Here is a 22,304-nt window from a genome sequence, read left to right on the forward strand (position 1 = left end):
CATTCACAATCTTTGCCCCATCCCATCACTTAGGGTACACCCACCTCAGTTCTGTCTCCTTCCCCAGAGTTGATTCTCTCTGAGGAGAAACTATGCATAGAAACTTTGGTTGAGCCACCGTTGCAGTTTTCTCCACATACTGAACCATGCCCAAATCCATGGGTAGGGCCTAGTCTCAAACTGAGCTCTGTATTGCAAACAATAACCAGTTTGAATTCTACTCATTGCAAGGAGATGCTTTAAAGACAGAGGGGCAGCAAGTCTGCACCCTCAAGCTATCAATCCAGTTGAGGGGACAGCAGGATGAGATCTACTGGGACCGGGGACTTTTCTGAGCAGTGACATACTGCACTGCTAAAGTTATTTGACTTTGCCATTTGTAGAATGAAATACGAATTGTTCCTTATTAGGGCTTGTGATTTGTTAATTAGCTTTAAAATAAAATGTTCATGATAACAGCGACAAATGATGTTAAACCTACACAGATAATTAAGATAAACGGAATGTCAATTGCTCCTAATGCTGTCAGCAGATTAAAGCTATCTTATTTGTTAAGGAAACACAGGAATATATTTCCCAGCCAACTACAATGCTAAATACTAAGAACACTTAGTAATTTATGCTAAAAATGTGCACAGCCAGTTTGCAAGATGGAACTGAAAACCTATACAATGAAGAAATTGTTAAAGGTGATATAGGAGGAAGCCATTAGCGTGGCCTTAGAAGATTTCTTAATTTTAAGGTCCCTCTAAGCTAATGGAAATGTTCCAGCATAGAGTTGAAATTTTAGTACTAAATAGAAGCTTTGAGATAATAGCTTCAATTATTGAGTGCTTACTCTGTGCTGGGTGCTATTTGAAGTGTTCCACATATTTATACAATACAAGAAGTCCACACTACTGTTCTTCCCATTTCACAGACAATGAACTCCAGGCACAAAGACAACCGATTTGCCAAAGTCACCCAGCCAGCAAGTGGAAAGCCAGGATTTGAACCCCAGCAGTTTGGCTCTAAAGCCTGTGCTCTTCCACATCTCACAGTGCAGAGTCCCGCATCTCAAGGCACTGTCTGTGGGTTGCCAGTGAGTTACCTGGGTTAAGATAGATTTAGGTTTCATAGGATGCAGCATCATCTCATGACCCCCTCTCTCCCAGGAAACCTGCTCTCCAGACCTGATTGTGCAGACACTTGCATCTTGTCCTGACCAGAGATACTGCCCTCCTCACACTGAGAAGGACGACTCCACATACCCAGGGCCAAAGGACCTCATGTGACCCATTCTGGGACAACAGACAGGCGCTAGTGCATCCTGCTCTGTCTCCAGCTCTTCTCAGAATAGGCTGGAGGATTACTGCTGTCTAACATTTCTGACCCTCCCCTCTCCACCCAACTCGTAGATTAGCAAATATCAAAGTCACAGGTATTCGTGACTAGTCCAAGCCACCTGATACTTCGAAAAGATGTGTGGTTTTGTCGGTTGTTTCATAACTGCTTGGGATCCGTTTATGGGAAGAGGCTCTTCCTCTTTCAGTTGGTACCAAAATGAGAGTTTCCCTTTGATATCATCCCCTAGACTTTCATCTTTGTACAGTCAGTCAGGGGAAAATTCCTCCAAGGGCCCCTGCTGTGAGTTTGCCATTCTAAAAGGCCAGGGCTGAACACATATATCTTCCGTGTCCAAAGGTATCTCTCCTACCGAACACCAAGCTCCACTGGAAACAGAATCTTCCGTCTTGAAAATCTGCATCTTCAGTTCCCTCCGTGAAGGAGCGGGCTCTGATCTGAGAAACCAGTGGTTCAAGAGCTCCACCATGAGGAAAGCAGGAAACAAGCCCTCGAGCAAGACATTTCTGTCATTTTCAAAAGCAGGTGCTACCCACAGGAAGGCAAAGGCCAGAGATGGGGAATGGGGACCAGGGGAGCAGCCAGGTCATGGCTCTGGGGCTGTCTGGTGAGGAAAGGGACTTGGCACAGTGTCTCCTGTCCCCTCATCTGCCCCGCCTTTTGCCGCATATTTATACAACACAAGAAGTCCACACTTCTGTTCTTCCCAGTTCACAGATAATTAACTCCGGGCACAAAGACAACTGATTTGCCAAAGTCACCCAGCCAGCAAGTGGAAAGCCAGGATTTGAACCCCAGCAGTTTGGCTGTAAAGCCTGTGCTCTTCCACACCTCACAGCACAGGGTTCCACATCTCGAGGCACCGTCTATGGGTTGCCAGTGAGTTACCTGGGTCACAGAAGATATATGTGCTCAGCCCTGGCCCTTTAGAATGGCTTTCTCCCCACTCCACGCAGGGCACATGGGGGCTACTAACTCTGAGCTCTACATTGGTAGCAGCTGGCAAGACGCTAAAGCTACTCTTCCCTCTTGGAGAATTAGATGCAATTAGGTTTGCTAAATTCTCCCATCAGCCCTGCTCACTAAATTCCTCACTGACTGCAATAGTGTTGCCTCCCAGCTGCTGCAGCGTCTGACCCTCACATCTGCTGGCTTCTCCCCTGGGGCCAGATCACTCCTGCAGCTACCAGCTCTCACCACCCCCACCCCCATCCCAGGCCACCAGCCCTTTGAGATGGGTTGGAACTCTCTGCCAATTAGAGGTGACTGGGGGATTCTGGGGAAAGCATAAGCTTTGGTATCAATTAGAACTGGGACAGAAATCTGGATCTATCTGTATCACTTTAAACAAGGAGCAGAACCTCTCTGAAACTCATCTTGAAAATGAGAGAAATGTTTTATTTCCTTTTCTCATTTATGTGTTGACCCCACTCAGAGGGCAGACATTGTGTCTGTCTTGTCCACGGTTTTATCTCCATTACCTAACACAGTGCCTGGCACTTAGAAGACAATAAATATTTGTGGAGGGAAGGAGGAAAAAAATACTTTCCCTATAGGATTGTTAAGAGCACTAAATGAGATAACATATGTAAGAATCTGAGTTACATGTGCTCTATAAATGATGGATTCTAACCACCAGCTTATTTTGATTACATGACACCAGGCTTCTTGTTTCAGCTAATTATCATTGTCACCTCATCCATTCATTCATTGCAGAAATACTGAGCACCTGCTACAAGTAATGCAGGACAATAAAAACGTAAAGAGCATGGTCCCTACCTTAAAGCGGCTCAGTTACAATTTCAGTATACCATGTGCCACAGCGGTCATAAGTACAGAGAGCCATGAGCACACAGAGACTAGCCAGGAAAGGATGTAGGAGCAGGGAAAAATCTGGAGGTGGAGAAAAACTTCCTATGTTGAACTCTGGTGCCCATTGACAAAGCTGAGTCCCTGGAAATGAGTAGATGATGAATTTTATCACACACAAAAGATATGCTTGGAATAATTTTTTACCAGTCTCTTTCCTCAGAGATGTATCTGGATGTTGCCTTTAGCTGGTTAGACTCTGTCTCTTGGAGAACTGTATGAAGGGCAGTCCAAGTTCTCTGAGACTTTTGGCTCCAACAGATCCAAACCACCAGACAGCAGGAATTAGAAACAGGTGCTACCTATGGTCTGTGTATTAGTCCGTTCTCGCACTGCTATAAAGAAACTGAGACTTGTTAATTTATAAAGAAAAGAGGCTTAACTGACTCACGGTTCCTCAGGCCGTACAGGTAGCATGGCTTGGGAGGCCTCAGGAAACTTTCAATCACAGCAGAAGGTGAAGGGAAAGCAGGCATATCTCACATGGCCGGAGTAGGAGGAAGAGAGCAAAGTGGGAAGTGCTACACACTTTTAAACGATCAGATCTCGTGAGAACTCACTCACTATCATGAGAACAGCAAGGCGGAAGTTGGCCCCCTTGATCCAATCACCTCCCAATAGGCCCCTCCTCTAACACTGGGGATTACAATTCAACATGAGATTCGGGCGGGTCCACAAATCCGAAACATATCAGTCTGGAATTTAAATAAATTGAAGCAAGCATATCTTTATTTGCCACCAATTTATTACCCTAAGTTCTGGGCAAGACTTCTTGGAAAACTCCTCTAAATTTTTTGAGCAGCATCTAACATTTTACACAGTAGACCACGTGATGTGTTCTCAGGTTTCCAAAATTTGTCATATGCAGCCACTGGCCGGACATGCCATTGTGAGTTTCACCTGTACTATTTCTTTTCTTAACGTTTTTAAATTATTTTACTTAAAAAAAAAAAACTATTCAGGATCAGGCGTGGTGGCTCACACCTGTAACTGCAGCACTTTGGGAGGCCGAGGTGGGCAGATCACTTGAGGTCAGGAGTTCGAGACCAGCCTGGCCAACATGGTGAAACCCTGTCTCTACGTGTCTCTACTACAAATACAAAAATTAGCCGGGCATGGTGGCATGTGCCTGTAATCCCAGCTACTTGGGAGGCTGAGGCAGGAGAATCACTTGAACCTGGGAAGCAGAGAGCCGGGATCAGTGAGCCGAGATCACACCACTGCACTCCAGACTGGACGAAAGAGCAAGACTCCATCTCAAAAACAAACAAACAAACAAACTAAACTTTTCAAAGAAGATTTTCCAGATGTAATTAAAAAACAAGTATCAACTGCCCTTGCAGTCCCAATGTCTTCAAACATTATTGCCATTCCAGTCATGAAGTGATGCTCAAACACAATTCTCAGCAAGCCATGCCGCATGACCTTGAGACGGACAAATGAAGCTCTAAATTGACACCTGCCAATGGAGTGTGTTATGGAGGGTGTGTAGCTCAAAGGGATCGTATCCCACCAAAAAATCATCTTGACTTCCACCAGCTAGCAATAGAAATTTGGGTGCACTCAGTGAAAAGATGATGCGATTTAAACCATGATGCCTGGGTTGGGGTCATGCCTCTACCCCTTACTAGTTGTGTGACTTTGGACAGGAACTTAACTTCTCTGAGCTTCAAGTCCCAAATATCATTGTTATCATAATAATAATGATATTATTATGACAGCAATTTCTCATAAAATTGGTGAGCCAATGAAATTATTGCAATGGTATGACTGCAAAATCACCTTGTAAACTCTAAAGTATGCATAAATATTTATTAATTTCCTGAGAAATAAATCTTCCAAGATACAGTGAAGCTTACACTTTTACTGTCAGAACTTGGACATTATCATTATTGATGAGAGACTATAAAGAACATGGCCTTTGACCATTACTCAGACAATTGAGTAGGCGACAGGAGAATGTTTCTCACCCCTTCTTTCTATGATGTGTAAACATGCTAAGCTGGAGAAATGATCAGAGAACAGGAGATGTGGTTGTGAGAGTTGGCACAGGATGCAGAAAGCCCAGATGTACAATGAGTGCTATCCTGCCATAGACACATCACCTAGCAAGGTCCCATAAAACCAGGACAACTCTTTCCTTCACATGGTGGATCTTCACTGCACCTCAACTCAGCCAGTTTTAACAAGTCAGTACCACCCCCAGCTATCTACGGTCGCCTCACCGTAGTCCTGATAGTGCTGTACATGGCCCCATTCCTGACCCAGCCTCACTTGTCTATCCCTCCCAAATGCTGGCCCTGAGCCTTTGGTAACCCCTTCTCCAAAATCAGTCAGTTGGTGCCTTCCTCTGCGGGCCTTATGTTACCTGAAACAGGGCATTGCCCTGGGAACTCTTCCCATGTCGCCTTTGGAAAGAAAGCTTTTATTTTCTCACACCCCATGGACCTCTCAGGTATGTGGGGAAAGTTGAGCTGGGGTCCTCTTTGATCCCCACTGACACCTCCAGACCATGGACACCACATTATTTTGTTACAACCCTGCTCTTTTAAGACTCACAACTCAGCTATACCTCCCTCTCCTACTCCTCATCTTGTCCTGACAGTACCTCTCTTTCACTGAAGAGTTAAACACTTGGCTCTCAGGATCCACCCAAGATGCAAAACCCTGGACTCTCAGCTCCCTGAGGTTCTCATCACCAATGAGCCCACCCACTTCCCCAGCAACAAACCCCAGCCTCCTTCTCCCACACTTACTATGTTCTGAATCACCAATTCTAGCACCTCACTCTGACCACAATCTCCTCCCCTTCCAGAGCACTTGTTCACCTACTCCCCCCACCACAGTTCTTAGACTTAATCAAGACCCCCAAGTTCTCTCACTCATCTACTTTCTCCCAATCCATGAACCTCTTCTCTTCACGTCTCTCTATCCAGCTAAGATTCCGGAGTCCATCATATTACTAGTAGTAGCATTCCTATCAATAGCCTTAACTCTGTTCCTCACCTGCATTTTACCATACATACATACATTTTACCATACATAGAAAAATCCAGGAAAAAACCCATTGTGAATGCAACAATCCAGTTTTTACATATTTGTACCCTAGCAGCAAATGCTGCTAGAGAAAAACCATACACTAAGGCAAACTGAATCTACTAGGCTCTCCATCCTCCACAATTGCTTCTTCACACCTCCCCTCGCTGCCCCTACCCCCACTTCCCAAGGAGGTGACCTTATCATCTCTTTCACAGAGAAATTAAGTCAACAAACAACAAGCTTACAATGTCTCTTCACTAAACTACAGACATACCCCATCACCATCCATCCACCTTCCCTAGCTTCCCTCCTGCTACAATAGAGGAAGTGTCTGAGGTCAAGCCCTCCACCTGTGCTTTCCATCATCCCACCTTCTCAGGAGGCTTACATTACCTTCTCACACCCCTCTTCTTACCTTTGCCAAGATTGTCTTGATGAATTCTTATCTCAAGATTTTTTCTCAGTTGGGCACGGTGGCTCACGCCTGTTATCCCAGCACTTTAGGAGGCCGAGTTGGGCGGATCATGAGGTCAAGAGATAGAGACCATCCTGACCAACATGGTGAAACCCCATCTGTACTAAAAATACAAAAATTCACTGGGCATGGTGGCGAACGCCTGTAGTCCCAGCTACTCGGGAGGCTGAGGCAGGAGAATTGCTTGAATCCGGGAGGTGGAGGTTGCAGTGAGCCGAGATCGCGCCACTGCACTCCAGCCTGGCAACGGAGTGAGACTCTGTCTCAAAAAAAAAAAAGAATTTTTCTCAATCCCAACTCTTATTTTGGGGGTTTACAATCAGCCTGCTTTTTCAGCCTGCAAGGTACTTAATTTTTTGAGTCTGATTTCCTTTTGGTTTTTCTTACAAACTCACTAATTCTTTCCTGAGCTCATCTCTTTCTTGTAATTCTTTGAGGAAAGTACCAATAATTTCCAACACTCTTTGTGACACATCTTCTATATGTCGTCCAGATCCATTTTCCACCCTACGCCTGGAGGCTGATCTGTAAGGACGGCATCAAGCTCCCTTGCCCTCTTGCTCCTAGTTGGTTTTGGCTAATGGGGAGCCACTGAAGGAGATAGGAGGCAAGAGGAACAAGGTGAGAGTATTTATTTTCTGGCTCCTTCTCAGCGAAGTTGCCTTAGGCTTGCTGTCTCGCTCTAAATGAAGATCACATCTTATTCATAATTCTCTCCCTCTGGTTTAACTGCTCCCTCAAGCTTAAGGGAGGAGTTAAGCAGGGGTGGTAACAGCCCTGTAATTAATTGGTAGCCCCATGTACTACACTATTTCCTATGGTTTCCTGTCCATAACTTTCTAAATTGTCCTGTTGCCAAACTTCTTTTGAATTACCCTAACTTGAATTGCCAACTGTTTCTTGCTGAGCCCGATACTCACATAAATACCGATTATTTCCATGTACTTTTTTTTTCTTCCAGGGATCAATTTCTGTTTTAACTAGAATCCCTTTGGTTGAAAATCAAGAAACCTAATTTGACCTACCTTAAGCCGAAAGTGGCATTTGTTACCTTGAAAATGAAACTATGCAAAGAATACAGTTGGACCTCAGAGGAGTTTAGAACTAGGACTCTCTCTAGCTTGTCTTTAGAATAAAAGTGCTTCTCTTTCTTCAGTTTCAATTAGGAAAACCCTAGGTAAGGACCTGGCCCAGTCTGGATCACATGCTTAAGCCTGCGCCCAGACACATTCAGTGCATACTAGCGTATTGGCAGCCCTGGGAGAACCGCATGGTTGGGAATGAGAGCAGCAGTCCCCAGAATTAAATGGCTGTTAGTCCCAGATATTTTCAATCACTCCGATTGTAATGACTCCACAGCAGAAATCACACATAGGAATTCATATCTACTGTTAACTTCTTAGGTTCTAGATTTGGGGCTCTTATATCGTCAAATTTTTCTACTAACTCTGAGAATATCTCTATGTGTGCAAAGTCCACAGAGTAAAATATATGGTCACCTCTTTGGGAAACGGGGGTAGAGGTAGAGAGAGGAGGTGTGAAAAAGCAATTGTGCACAGTGGAGGTCAAGTTTACCAGGAAATTGTAGTAGGATTACCAGATAGTGCTGAGATAGGGTAATCATGAATACGTAGAGAATCCAATTGCCTTGTTGTATGACTTCTTCTCTAGCAGCATTTGGCTGCTGGGGTGCAAATACTGGAAAAACTAAGTTGTTTCATTCAAAACAGACTTGGGGATTTTTCTAAATTTTTCTATGTATGGTAAAAAGCAGATAAGGGACAGAGTTGAGGGTACTGGTATGAGTGCTACTGCTAGTAATATGATGTTTGTGGAATCTCAGCTGGAAACAAAGACATGAAGAGAGGCTTATGGATTGGGAGAAAGATAGGTGAGAGAACTGGGAGTCTCATTTAATGTAAAAACTATGGTTGGGGCGATAGTTGAACAAACAAGTATGTATTTATCTGCAGACACAAATAGTAAGTATATACATTCCTTTATTAGGGTAGCCCTTGCACTTATAAAGAAACCTTCCTCAAAAAGGAAATGTACAAAATGATGAAGATACCATAGTTTATTTCAACATACTAAGCCAAAAAAATAAGAAAACAACTAATTTATTTGAAAAAAAAACAAATTCTGTACATGCAGGCTTGGCTTGATTGACCATAATGTATTTCAGCAAAAAAAATTTAGATACACCACACATAATAAAGCTTTCTATGTACACAGTAAATAGTAAATAACTTTGCTAAATGGCCAGACATTTGAAAAAATGAAAACACAGTTGTAAAACAAAGTATGTAAGAATATTGTGACCTTATTTAACTGTACAAAAAGCAATCATTCTCTCCAGCCTTCCATCTTCACTTACATTTTTTTAAACAAGATTAAGCCCCAAATTGAAGGGATTAAATCCTTTCTTCCTAATGCCTCGGGAATATGAGATTCTCTTTCAAATCTTTAACTTTTTACAAAGGAGCAGAGCACTTAAAGGGAAATGGTGGGAAACAAAGAGATTTCAATTCTGTGCCATTCATCCAGATTCTGCTGGGGAAGATTTCCCAAGTCCACTACCAATTCACTCAACTTGGTTTAAAAACATAATACCTGATTGTAGGATTAATTTGGCTTTTATTTAGCCCATCTGCAGCTTTATCATTAAAAATCAGCTCCTGACATTAGCCCTTAGTTCAGTATCTACAAATGAAATTTGGGAATTCTATGACAGTGATGTTAGCATATTTAAATGTAAAATGCAAAATGATTAATTTTTAAATATGCAAACTGCTACATTTTCTCAATAATCAATTCATGCACAAATAAAAAATGGCAATAGAAAAAGCAGAAAAATATGGATGTTTCTAAATGAGACAATGAGACAATTATAAAAATTTCATGTATTAATATCAAGACAAGGCTGGGGCCAGCTTAGTTGTAAGAAAAACTATTATTGTATATAATTGGACAGCAAAACCCAGTCCTGTCTAAAAGCAATGGATCAAACTGTCTTCTCAAGTCCTTCCTGGCCATATTTCTATGTGATACAATGAAACATTTTTAATAAATGCAATCTATCATAGAACTGCAAGTTTTTATATTCCTAATGAACTTAACTTTATTATAGCAATGATTTAAATACATGTACTGTAAAAAAGAGAAAACAGTTGTAAACACACTCTTAATTTTTTTCTTTATCTGCAAGATAATATTTTTAAAAGATTACACAACTTCTTGATTCTTTAAGAACTAAGAACCAAAGTATTGAACATAATAAATAAATGTGCAACCTGGAGGCCTGGAAAAAGAGATAGAATACCAAATAACAAACCAGTGCATTAAAAATCCAGTATGTCAGTATTAAGACTTCTTCATCCAAATCCAGTTAGGTTTATTGCTATTATAAATAAGCTTCACATTAAGGCATCTGTCATTACCTATGAAAAAGATTTGGATTCAAAACAAAGGAATATACACTGTACAATTTTTTTTCTTTCATTCTGATGTCATTACAGATATTATCAGTTTTAAATGTTAAGTTTTTGTATGGCAATATATAAATATCTTTAAACATATTACCTGAATACAGTTCAAATGTCTCTCTATATTTTGATACTTTAATATATATATTTAAAGTATATTCAATTAATGAGGAAATAGACAAAAGCAAATCAACATAGATGGTAAAGGACTAAATCTGAGACATTACAACCTCTAAAAAAAAATACTGTACAGACAGTGACGATGAGCAGATCTTGGCCAAGTCATTTAACTTCCCTGAGCCTCATTCTTTCCATCTGTAATATTTCAATAACAGTTGCTCTGTCAAGCTGTTTTGAGATCAAATGAGATGATGTAAAAACACTTGGCAAACTGAAGCAATGCAAAAATTAATGGTATTATCATAGGCCAAAAGATCTCAAGTTTCTGACAGTGTATCTAACAAATAAAGTTATGGCCTGCTCCTTTTGCATTCACTTGAGAACTCCCAGTTTTGATTAGATTGTTATGGAAAGAATGGAGCCAAAATTTATGCAAAGAGAAAATCTCTAAGTTTTAGCATCCAGAATTGTATAAAGTACAGTTTGTTGGGAATGGGAAACAACTGCTTGAAGGGGTATACAGAATACCAAATAATAATGTATTAAAAATTCAGTATTTCAGTATTAAGACTTCTTCATCCAAAGACAGGTCTAACTCTAACTAGGCTCAGGCTACCTCTTGATACTTACTAAAAATAAATAGGGGCAGACTTCTCAAAAACCTTGGTTCCCGGCCTTTCATCAGACTCTTCTAGAGAAACCTCCTTTTCCCTCACCATTGGCTATCATGTTGCATAGTCACATTAAAAGAACTATCTCTTATAACAGCTCAAGAGTTTTAAAACCATAAAGAAACACAGCCTAAGTCAATTGCTGGTACACTATTCAGGCTGGTATAAATTTGAAATGATTCAATAATCCCTACCATGTTCTCCCTTTCTCAGTCCATAAGCCCTTCCTCTATGTATAAATGGTTCTCGGCCAGCTTTTTCCAATCTTTGTTCTGAGGAACACTAGCTGGGTGAGATGTTAACAGGTAAAAAACATCTGTGTTAAGTATGTTGGGAATATGCAGGGCGAGATAAATTTATGTACCACTGAACTGCTCAGTCTTTGATGTACTGACTGTACTTGCTAAAGAAGAATGAAGTGTTCAGCATTTCCCAAACTCATCTGACCACAGAATCCCCTTTTTCCCCCAAAAAAATATCTAGAGGAGCTAATAGCTCTTAGAATATTCTTTGGAAAATGCTATTCTAGCCTGATTCTAAACATTCCAGAGCTAAATCTGGCAATAGTTATGTTTTTAATTTCTGAAGAAGAATCATTTTTCTTATAAGGTCAACTACCATGATAACCTCCTGGTTTCCACTCCATAAGTAGGCTTCCCAAAGCAACTAACAACTAAATTTTCTTCACTACATACTAAGGAATTCAAAGAACTTATTCTTGCGTGAATGAGAATTATGTTCTTTTTAAGGAGATACTTATATTCTTCCCCTAAGCATTAAAAATACAAAGATCTAATTCTAGATCCTAGGACCTAGAATCACAATTATTTTAAGGAAATGAGAGTATTTTATTACAACATCATTGCAATTAATATTATCAATGAATGATAATTAGTAGTGGTGCTAACAGTAGTAGTGTTGGTTAAGCATTTATTTTTGCATCCTAATCCTAATATCCACTCTATGAATTTAGGACCTACTATTACTCCCATTTTAAAGATAAGTACACCGAGGTTTACCAAGATTAACTGACTTGCCAAGGGTCACACACTGGAGTAAGGGCAGAACCTTAGACTCATGTCTGACCCCTCGCCCCATGCTCTTAACCACATAATGCCATCTTTTATTTCAGTGACAAGACAAAAGCATTTAGGTCACACTCTTGTTGTTAAACAGGAAAATTATATAAATGCAAATTGTTTAGAATAGGTTTTGGATTTCCTTTTGAGCAAACCCCCAGTCCTTTAAAGGATATACTTAAAATTTTTTTTAAGCAGAGGAAAATAGACTACTATTTACCAATGACAAGTTTATAGAGTTTTAAAACGAGAGGTTTTTTAAAAATCTGCATCCAAGGTGAAGACGTTATCTGTGGTTTCTGCCATAACTGCAAAACGCTGATACTCTGAAACTCGTTTCTCAAAGAAATTTGTTTTTCCTTCTAAAGAAATGTTTTCCATAAAATCAAAAGGATTTTCTGCCTGAAAAACCTAAAAAGGAAAGAAATATTATTAGACATTCTGAAGAGATCAAATTACATCCACAATAAGAGCAAAGATGACCAAAACAGAGGTCAGGTTTCTCAAAACCTATCTAGTCAGCTACAAGATCATATCATTCCCCTAAGACCCTGGAGGTACTCAAGGCTGACAAATTTTAAGATGACCCAAGATCAACCACTAATCTCCTCAAGAAACTGTACTAGCATCTCTGGTATTCTAATAAATAGAAAAAAAAACACAACTATTTCAGGAATTGAAATATTTAATACTAACCAATAGAAAATGTTCTCACAGCTTGAGATATCCAATACACCATGAGCATTTTTCATAGATATTACTATTAGTCAGACATACATGATACTATAAAATGTTAAATTAGCAACAATCCACTGTGGTTCTAAGTATGTTTCTTAGTTTATAAGAGAACAGATAATCAACAAATTGTCATTAAGGGAACATGATCAGGGAAGACAGAATAAATGTTATCCATAGTGACTAGATGTCTCCAAACAAAAAGGGGGACTATGCTAACAAGAAGCTTTTTTACTGCTTCAGAATTCAAGAAACAAGGCCGAGCATGGTGGCTCATGCCTGTAATCTCAGCACTTTGGGAGGCCGAGGTAGGTGGGATCACCTGAAGTCAGGAGTTTGAGACCAGCCTGACTGACATGGTGAAACCCTGTCTCTACTAAAAGTACAAAAATTAGCTGGGCGTGGTAGCAGATGCCTGTAATCCAAGCTACTCAAGAGGCTGAGGCAGGAGAATTGCTTGAACCTGAGAGGCAGAGGTTGCAGTGAGCCAAGATCATGCCATTGCACTGTAGCCTGGGCAACAGAGTAAGACTCCATTTCAAAAAAAAAAGAATTCAAGAAGCAGACTTGGAGATACAGCTTGATGGAAACTGTGGGATATTTCAGTGATTCACAAGGAGTAACAAAAGAGGATTTCTCAATTTAGGAGTATCCCAGCAAAAAATATGAACACTACAGATAAACATATATTCAAGTAACCCAATTTTAAATATGGGCAGAGTGTCTAAATAGACAAACTGATACTTCTTTAAAGAAGATATACAAAATGAAAAGATGCTCAGCATCCTTATCCATTAGAGACATGCAAATCAAGATCACAATGAGATACCACTTCCCACCTACTCGGATGGCTATAATTTTTTAAAAAACAGGTAATAAGTGTTGGTGCGGATGTGGAGAAATTAGAACCCTCATACAGGGTGGGAATATAAAATTGTGCAGCTGCTTTAGAAAACAGTCTGGTAGTTCTTCTAATGATTAAACATGGAGTTACCATATGATCCAGCAATTTCACTCCTAGGTGTATACTTAAGAGATATGAAAACATGTCCACACAAAAATGTGTAAATGAACGTTCATAGTAGCATTATTCACAATAGATCAAAAGAGGAAACAACTTAAATGTCCATCGAATGGATAAATAAAATTTGGTATATCCATACAGTGGAATATTATTTATTTGGTCATATAAAGGAATAAAGCACTGATACATGCTACAACATGAATGCACCATGAAAACACACTAAGGAAAGAAGAGAACCACAAAAGGCCACATATTATATGATTCCATTTGTATGAAATAGAATATGCAGAATAGGCAAATCTACAGACGCAGAATAGGCAAATCTACAGACACAAAAATTAGATTAGTGGTTGCCTAAGGCAAGGTGGGTAAGGGGAGGAAAGAGGAGTGACTGACTGCTAATAGGGATACAGTTTCTTTATGGGGTGATAAAAATGTTCTAAAATAGGTTGTTATGATGGTTGTACAACTCTGTGACTACACTAAAAACTATTGAATTGTACATTTTAAATGGGTGAATTGCATGCTATGTGACTTAATCTTTAAATAAAGCTTTAAATATTTATGTATCTTTTTTCCAAAAACTCATATGCTGGGTGTGGCTGAGTGAAATTCTATGAAATTCTCCATCAGAAATTGTGTGTAAAAAGTGAGGGAATATTGGAGCTGTAATATACAGCAAGATACAGTGAAAGGGCACTGAACCAATAGCCATAGACTCACTAGATGTTAGAACTGAAGACTTTTCAAAAAATTAGATCTAAGTCATTCATGGCATGGACAAAGTAACCAAGACCAAAAAAACAAACTAAATTAAGTGGCTTGTTTTTGGTGGGTTTTTTTTTTGACACAGAGTTTCGGTCTTTTTGCCCAGGCTGGAGTGCAATGGCACAATCTCGGCTCACTGCAACCTCTGCCTCCTGGGTTCAAGCGATTCTCTCGCCTCAGCCTCCCGAGTAGCTAGGATTACAGGCACCCACCACCATGCCCAGCTAATTGTTGTATTTTTAGTAGAGACAGGGTTTCACCATGTTGGCCAGGCTGGTCTTGAACTCCTGACCTCAGGTGATCCACCTGCCTCAGCTTCCCAAAATTTTGGGATTACAGGCATGAGCCACTGTGCCCAGCCTTATTATTATTTTTATTTGTAGAGATAGGGTCTTGCTATATTGCTGAAACTAGTGTGGAACTCCTGGGGTCGAGCAATCCTCCTGCCTTGGCCTCCGAAGTGCTGGGATTATAGGAGTCAGCCACAAGGCCCAGCTCCTACAAGTTTTGATACATAGTAATCATATTGTCATTTACTTTATATTTTCAATTAATTTTTATTTTCATTTTAAATCTCATTTTAAAGGAGATACATGTATATGCAGAGAGAGAGAGAGAGAGAGCGAGAGAGAAAGGGTCTCACTCTGTTGCTCAGGCTGGAGTGCCGTGGCACAATCTCAGCTCACTGCAACCTCTGCCTCCCAGGCTCAAGTGATCCTCCCAGCTCAGCTTCCCAAGTAACTGGGACTACAGGCATGCCACCAGGCCTGGCTAATTTTTTGTAGGATTTCGCCATGTTGCCTAGGCTGGTCTCAAACTCCTAGACTCAAGTGATTCTTCCACCTCAGCCTCCCAGAGTTCTGGGATTAGAGGTGTGAGCCACCGCACCTGGCCTAACGGATATATTTTTAATCTCTAAGTAGATTAAGCTTTTTGGCAATTTTTAAATCAGTTTCTACTTTCATTGCATTAAAAATCTAAGGCCTCTATAATTTCTGCTTTTTAGAATTTACTCAGATATTTTGAAGCCTGTGGAAAAACAAAGTTTTACATTGTGTTTAGACCTTCTCCTGCAGGAGGTGGCATGTTTTACATACCTACAGTTAGCAAGTTCCCAAAAGGAAAATTAGACCCAAGGGTCAGCAGTTTTCTAATAAGCAGCAGAACATGAACGTGTGGATGTGAGGATATGGTAATGGGTTAAAGAATAGCGAATTCACTGTAAGGCTTAAATAAGCAAATTCATTTTCTAATAACAAAAATATTGGTAAAAGTTATGAACAAACACAATTTCTTTTAATATACATAGTTTATAAGTTTAAGAGATTATATTAATATAGTTATAATCTTGATTTCTCATTAATTAGTAAACACAGAGAGGATCTTGCAACTAAAATGTTAAAATGTAGTTTATCTTACCAAAAAAACCTACGCCCCACTTGACTTTTTCATTAAGTACCTGGGTGGTTATCAGAATATAATTCTGCTATATCTGCTAATACAACATTAGCAAGATAGGTAATGATTACCACAGCATCATAGATTTCATAAGGATTCTCATTAAAGATAATTTGAACTTACATTTTCATGACAAGAAATCAAAATCTGTATTTCTAATTACCATGGTATAGTACATAGTGAATTTCTGTGTTTCACTTAAGTACAAAGTGACCATCTAGTGTGAGTTTATTATGTGTCTAATATTATTTTAAGTGCTTTAAGTGTATCAACTCATCAACAATCCTTTGTAGTAAATATTATTACTATCTCTAATTTATAGATGAGGAAACTGAGATAGTTAAGCAACCTGCCAAAGGTCACACAGCTAGAAAGTGGTGGAACCAGGATTCAAACCCAGATAGTGTGGCTGCAGGCTCCATGTCTTAAGTAATGGGAAAACCGCACTGATGAAATTCAGGTACATTATCTCTGATAAATGACAAAAATAACTTGAATAACTCTGTTCAAAGAGTTATATTGTGACAGTTAATGTCTTCCTAATAACTATTCCCTATTTAAAAGTATTAACTCCCAAACCACAATATAGACACATGGCGATTTATATGAGGGTGAATATATATATGCATATTAAACCTAACTCCTTGAAAATAATCCTATTAAATATACAGCTACAATTATTGCAAAATAATTTATTGAGCTTATTAGTTCTAATATTTTACCAGCCTCCTACTTCAGTTATTAATTTTAAATTTCAAAGGATTTTGCAAAACCTTGTTCATACAAAACAAGTCTCTGTCATTGACATTTAAAAAATAGAATAGTATGTTACAAATGCTTTCAGTAAATTATACTTTAGGGTCCTTGCTTTCCTATAATATTTTAACTAGTAGTAACACATTTTTAAACACATTACCTTTGAGAATCCAAGTTCCACAAGTAATCTGTCAGCTACAAACTCAATGTACTGTTTCATCAAAATGCAATTCATTCCAATGAGGCCAACTGGCAAGGCTTCTGTTAAAAACTCCTGGGATGAAAACAAAAACAGAATAAAGTACAAACAAAACTATAAATATGTATTTTCCAAATAGAAAGAGGACTTTCGTTTTATTTCTAAGACTGATTTTGTCCAAGGAAAGTATATTAGGATAAATTCTTTCAATGTGGCAAATGATGTCCGTATATTTAAAAACATTTGGGGTATTAACTATTCACATTTTTTCATGTTTTCGAAGAGCCAAAATAAATGGAAACGAACTACCAAATTACTGGATTTCTTGAAGTAGCAGATATAAGACTCGGATTCGTATGCTTTCTCAATAGAAAAAAAAGATACTTTGTTCTAAAATATCTGGAAAAAGATTCAAAGATGATCATCATGAAGAACATGACTATGGAAGGGAGCTGGGAAAGAAAGAAAAACTCAATTAACAAAGAAAATGAGAAAAAAGAAACAAACAGATTTGGGGGTTGGGAGATAAAATAGCTCCAACCATACTGAAAGACTATATAGTGGTAAAGCGTTAATAGAGGAAAAATAAAAATATATTAACCACTTGGATTTAGTTCTCAAAATGATTAAAGATACCAAAGTACCTGTTATGCCTTTTTCCTCTTTCAATATACAAACTACGCCTGTTAAACTACGCAGTGTTACCAAAACAAAAGCAATTTCAGAATGATAAAAACACATCCTAAGTAGCGCATCTAGCTCTTTCTAGTAAGAAATCCGTACATACCCTAACTTAATTGTTACTTTTCATTAACTTACTTATTCATTCTATAAAAATTTGTGTATGCTTCAAGCTAGGTACCTTGCTACGTTATTAAAAATACAAAACAAATAAAAAATCATCACTGTTCTCCAGTCACTAAAAATGTAAAAAAAAAAGCTACTATAATTAGCTGATCATGGCATAAAATTTGACAGAGATCAATAAGACAGAAAAATAGCCCTGAAACAGGTTTTAGTATACATAAAACCTTAATATATAATAAAGACTGACTTACTAAAGCAAATTGTAAACTGACATAATAATTGTAATATATCATGTATTGGTATTGTCAGGCTGACCAGAATAAAATTGCTGGTATTTTTATTGACCTACAGAATTTCTTATGAGTCAATATAATAGTGGTACAAACATCAGAGAAAGAGAGATGTGCTAATTACACAAACTTCCCGGTTTACCTGCTCAATTTTGACAGCATCAACAATGATCTCCCTGACCCTTTCTTCTGAAGGCTTATTTACTAAGTATTGGAACATCAGGCAAGCAAAGTCACAGTGAAGTCCCTAAAAGGGAAGAAAAATGTCATTGTCAAATAACTTTTAATCAGCTATTTGCATATGGTGATGGGTCAAGCATTGTATAAAGTGGTTCTAGGAATATAACACAGAACTTCTGGAAAATGGAAGAGGGGTTAATAGGACTAGGAACTTCCTTCTTTCAAATCTCATTAAATGCCAATACAATAACCTATAATAAAAATTTTCAATGCCAGCAAATCTTAGTTCATCAACATTATAGAAAAATTAATTTATGAACAAACAAAATCTGCAAATAAAAGCATTTTGGAAAGGAAAATAAAGCAAGAAAGCCTGAAATGAAAATTCATTAATTTTTAAATTTCAAAAATAATTAAGGAATGATTGAAAAATAATTAGTATTTAAATAACAGATGAAACTCAGATTTCAAAAATACATTTATAATTAAATAAGAAAGGCTCAAGATAAAAATGAATTCAGTTCTAATGAAAATGGAAACTGAGGTGGGGCTCGGTGGCTCATGCCTGTAATCTCAGCACTTTGGGAGGTCAAGGTGGGCAGACTGCTTGAGTCCAGGAGTTCAAGACCAGCCTGGGCAACATGGCAAAACCCAATCTCTACAAAAAAAAATAAAAAATAAATAAATAAATAAATAAATAGAAGTAAATAAAAAATACCAATAAATAAATAAGAAAATGGAAACTGAACAATGATGAATATCGCCTGAAGCCATACAAAGCAGATATGATCTTACAGATAACTCAACCAAAAATGAAAATAAACTTGTGAAATACCCGAGTATGGTTATACAAATGCAATAGAATCTTAAGTAATTGGAGAATAGGTGAAGGAGAGTCAACCTACAATAATCAGGACTCCAAAACACAGAATAGATAGTATAGAGCTAAATATTAAAAAAAAAAAAAAAAAAAAAAAGAAAATTTCAAAAATTCAACATGAAAAAAGAGAGAGGTCGGATATAGAAAGATGGAATTCCCAGGCTGGGCATGGTGGCTCATGTCTGTAATACAGCACTTTGGGAGGCTAAGGTGGGCAGATTCCTTGAGTTCAGGAATTCGAGACCAGCCTGGGCAACCTGGCAAAACCCCATCTCTGCAAAAAATACAAAAATTAGTCAGGCATGGTGCACACCTGTAGTCCCAGCTACTCAGGAGGCTGAAGCAGGAAGATTGCTTGAACCTGGGAGGTCAAGGCTGCAGTGAGCTGAGATCACGCCACTGCACTCCAGCCTGGGTGACAGTGAGACTGTTTCAAAAAAAAAAAAGGAAGAAAGAAGAAATTACCATCAAGGCTGAAAGATGTTAAAGTGTTGATGAAAACTGACAGGTAACTTATTACAGAAAGCAATACCAATCAAAATCCCAATGGAATTGGTGTGTGTGTGTTTGTAATTTATTTTAAAAGGCTTTAGAGCAGAAAAGAAAGAAAAGTACACTTCAAAGAGTCCCAAGCGGGCACAGAGGTCAAGTACCTAAATGGGATTGTTTTTAATTCAAAAGTTAATCTGGAAGGCTGGGCACGGGGGCTCATGCCTGTAATCCCAGCACTTTGGGAGGCCAAGTTGGGAAATCACTTGAACCCAGGAGTTCCAGACCAGCCTGGGCAACACAGTGAGACCCTGCGTCTACAAAACTTTTTTAATTAACTGGATGTGGTGGTACATGCATGTAGTTCCAGCTACTTAAGGAGGCTGAGGTGGGAGGACTGCTTGAGCCCAGGAGGTCAAAGCTACAGTGAGCCAGGATCATACCACTTGCACTCAGCCTGGGTGACAGAGAAAGACCCTGTCTCAAAAAAAAAAAAAAAAAAAAAAGAATAGAATAAACGGACAGAATCTTGTAAGAACACTTTCAAAAGAAAAGTTTCGATATTTATCCTACAAATTATTAAAATATATGAAACTATAATAATTAAAATGGTTTGTTATAGAATAAAATCTGATAGGTCAATAAGGAAGTAAAAATAGCCATGAAACCGATTTTAGTCTAATAAAACCTTAATAGATAATAAAGAAGACAGCGCAAGTCAATGAAGAAAGGATGATGGATTACTTAACAAGGCAAATTGGAAAAACTTCCCAAGAGTGTTTAAAATAAAATTAAATTCTAACTTATTCTTTATTATATTTATGCTAAATCCTACTTTACAAATTCCAATTGCATTACAGACTTAAAGGTTAAAAAACCAAGAAAAAAAATGTGTAATTAATTTATCTCTGGAAGTGGATTACATAAAATTTAAGGTTTTGTATGTTAAAAGAACAAAAATTAAAAAGCAAAGGATAAATTGGGAAAATATGTGAAATAAATATAAGCAAATTTGTATTTTATATTATATTTGTGCTATAAATATAACAAATGCTATAAAGGTGTACTTGTTGAAAGGACCCAATCAGTCACTGTACATTGGGAATAAACCAATGAACAAGCAAGCATGACCCCTTCCTTTAAGTATAATAGACTACTGAAGAAATAACCTTAAAATAGTGAGAGCACTCAGAGTTAAATAACAAAAATGTTAATATTGCACCAGTAATAAAGGCAAAAGATAAAAGTAGGCAACTACAGAAAAAATACAAATCACTAATATCATTATGAAAAAAGTGTTCAATCTAAGTAATAATTAAACAATGCAAATAAAACCAATAATGAGATACCAATTAACCCTATCAAATTTGCCAAACATTTAGCAAATTAATCTAAATTCTGGTGAGAGTATGGTAGAAAATGTTCATACATTGCTAGATGGGGCTGAAAATTGTTATAAAATTACTGGAAAAAAAATCTGCAAGTAAGTATGTATGAATGCTTTATAACTTAGTAATTCTACTTTTTGTGATCAAGCTTAGGAAAATAATATAAAGGGAGGACAAAGCTTATATATATGTAAAGGTATTCATTTTATACTATAGTAAAACAAAAAACCTGGAAATAATCTAAATTTCTAATTATAAAAGTCAAATAAATGATTCATTCATTAGATTATACATTTAACAAAACTACTATTTTCAAAAGGTGCTTAATGCCACAGAAAAATGATTGCAGTATTTTGCCAAGTGGAAAAAGAACATCTCAACTCCTAAATATATGAATGATTAAAATATGTTTATATATCTAAATAGAATTAAATGTAGAAAAAAAGTCTATAAAGAAATACTTCAACAAAACAGTAAATGTAGTTCTCTCTGTGTTGAGATTAATTTTTTATTCTCTCAATTCTCTATAACAATCCTATATGACATTTCTAATAAAAGTTATTAAAAATTTAAAGCCATGAAAAAGCAAAAAGTAATTATATGAAGCATTTTATGGCATTTAAAAAAATACTTTCACATACACTATTTCATTGCATTCTAACAAAACGGTTAAGTTTTATAGTTGAAGAAACCAAGGTTCAGAGAAGTTAAGGATTAGTGTAGGCAATAAATGTTAACTGAATGGCTATAATAGCCAAAACATTGAGAACAGAAAGATAAATAAAACAAAGTCCCTGCACTAAGGAGCTTAAAGTCTAGCAGAAGAGAGAAAGAAGAAGTACAATACATGCTATGGACTCCAAGACATGGACAGGTTCAGGTTTCAAATGGATACATAAAGGAAAGAGTGGCCAGTTTCACCTAATTGATCAGGAAAGTTTTGAGATGTCTCTTCTGAGAAGGTAATCCAAAAAGGTTTAAAAAAAAAAAAAGGGGTGGTAAGAAAGATGGAAAGGGTAGAAAGGGTATAGCAGGCAGAGGGAGACCAGGCTTACTTACTGATCGGATGTGGCTGAAAAAGAAGAAGCAATCTAAAATGATTCCTAAATTTAAATTAGATGATTGGAAAAGAAGGATAGAGACACTCAATGAAATAGGAAAAACAGAAGGAACAACAAATTTTTGGAGAAAGATGATGAGTTTGATTTCTGAAATAACAGGTTTGAGATACCTGGGGGAACTTAAAGG

General features: G+C 37.8%; 1 protein-coding gene across 3 annotated transcripts in view, besides 2 other annotated features; it reads right to left on the reverse strand.

Moving 5' to 3' along the window:
* Nucleotides 1,287-1,426: an enhancer, noted in NCBI's record as "active region_27745". NCBI's record gives its function as "activates an Ori minimal core promoter by ATAC-STARR-seq in GM12878 lymphoblastoid cells {active_cell/tissue: GM12878}" and the evidence as "EXISTENCE:reporter gene assay evidence [ECO:0000049][PMID:35858748]".
* Nucleotides 1,607-1,766: an enhancer, noted in NCBI's record as "active region_27746". NCBI's record gives its function as "activates an Ori minimal core promoter by ATAC-STARR-seq in GM12878 lymphoblastoid cells {active_cell/tissue: GM12878}" and the evidence as "EXISTENCE:reporter gene assay evidence [ECO:0000049][PMID:35858748]".
* Nucleotides 8,709-22,304, reverse strand: part of RRM2B (ribonucleotide reductase regulatory TP53 inducible subunit M2B) — a 34,461-nt gene continuing 20,865 nt past the window's right edge. For 2 of the 3 annotated variants that reach the window (NM_001172478.2, NM_015713.5), the window contains 3 exons: nt 18,262-18,366; nt 16,984-17,097; nt 8,710-12,493 (listed from right to left, as the gene is read on the reverse strand). In NM_001172478.2, the coding sequence (NP_001165949.1) occupies nt 12,341-12,493; nt 16,984-17,097; nt 18,262-18,366 (372 nt within the window). In that variant the 3' untranslated portion in view covers nt 8,710-12,340. Of the gene's footprint in view, nt 12,494-16,983; nt 17,098-18,261; nt 18,367-22,304 lie in introns of all 3 variants that reach the window. The other variant, NM_001172477.1, reaches the window with a different exon arrangement.

The sequence above is a fragment of the Homo sapiens genome, chromosome 8 (genome assembly GCF_000001405.40).
Source record: "Homo sapiens chromosome 8, GRCh38.p14 Primary Assembly".
Classification (NCBI taxonomy): Eukaryota; Metazoa; Chordata; class Mammalia; order Primates; family Hominidae; genus Homo; species Homo sapiens.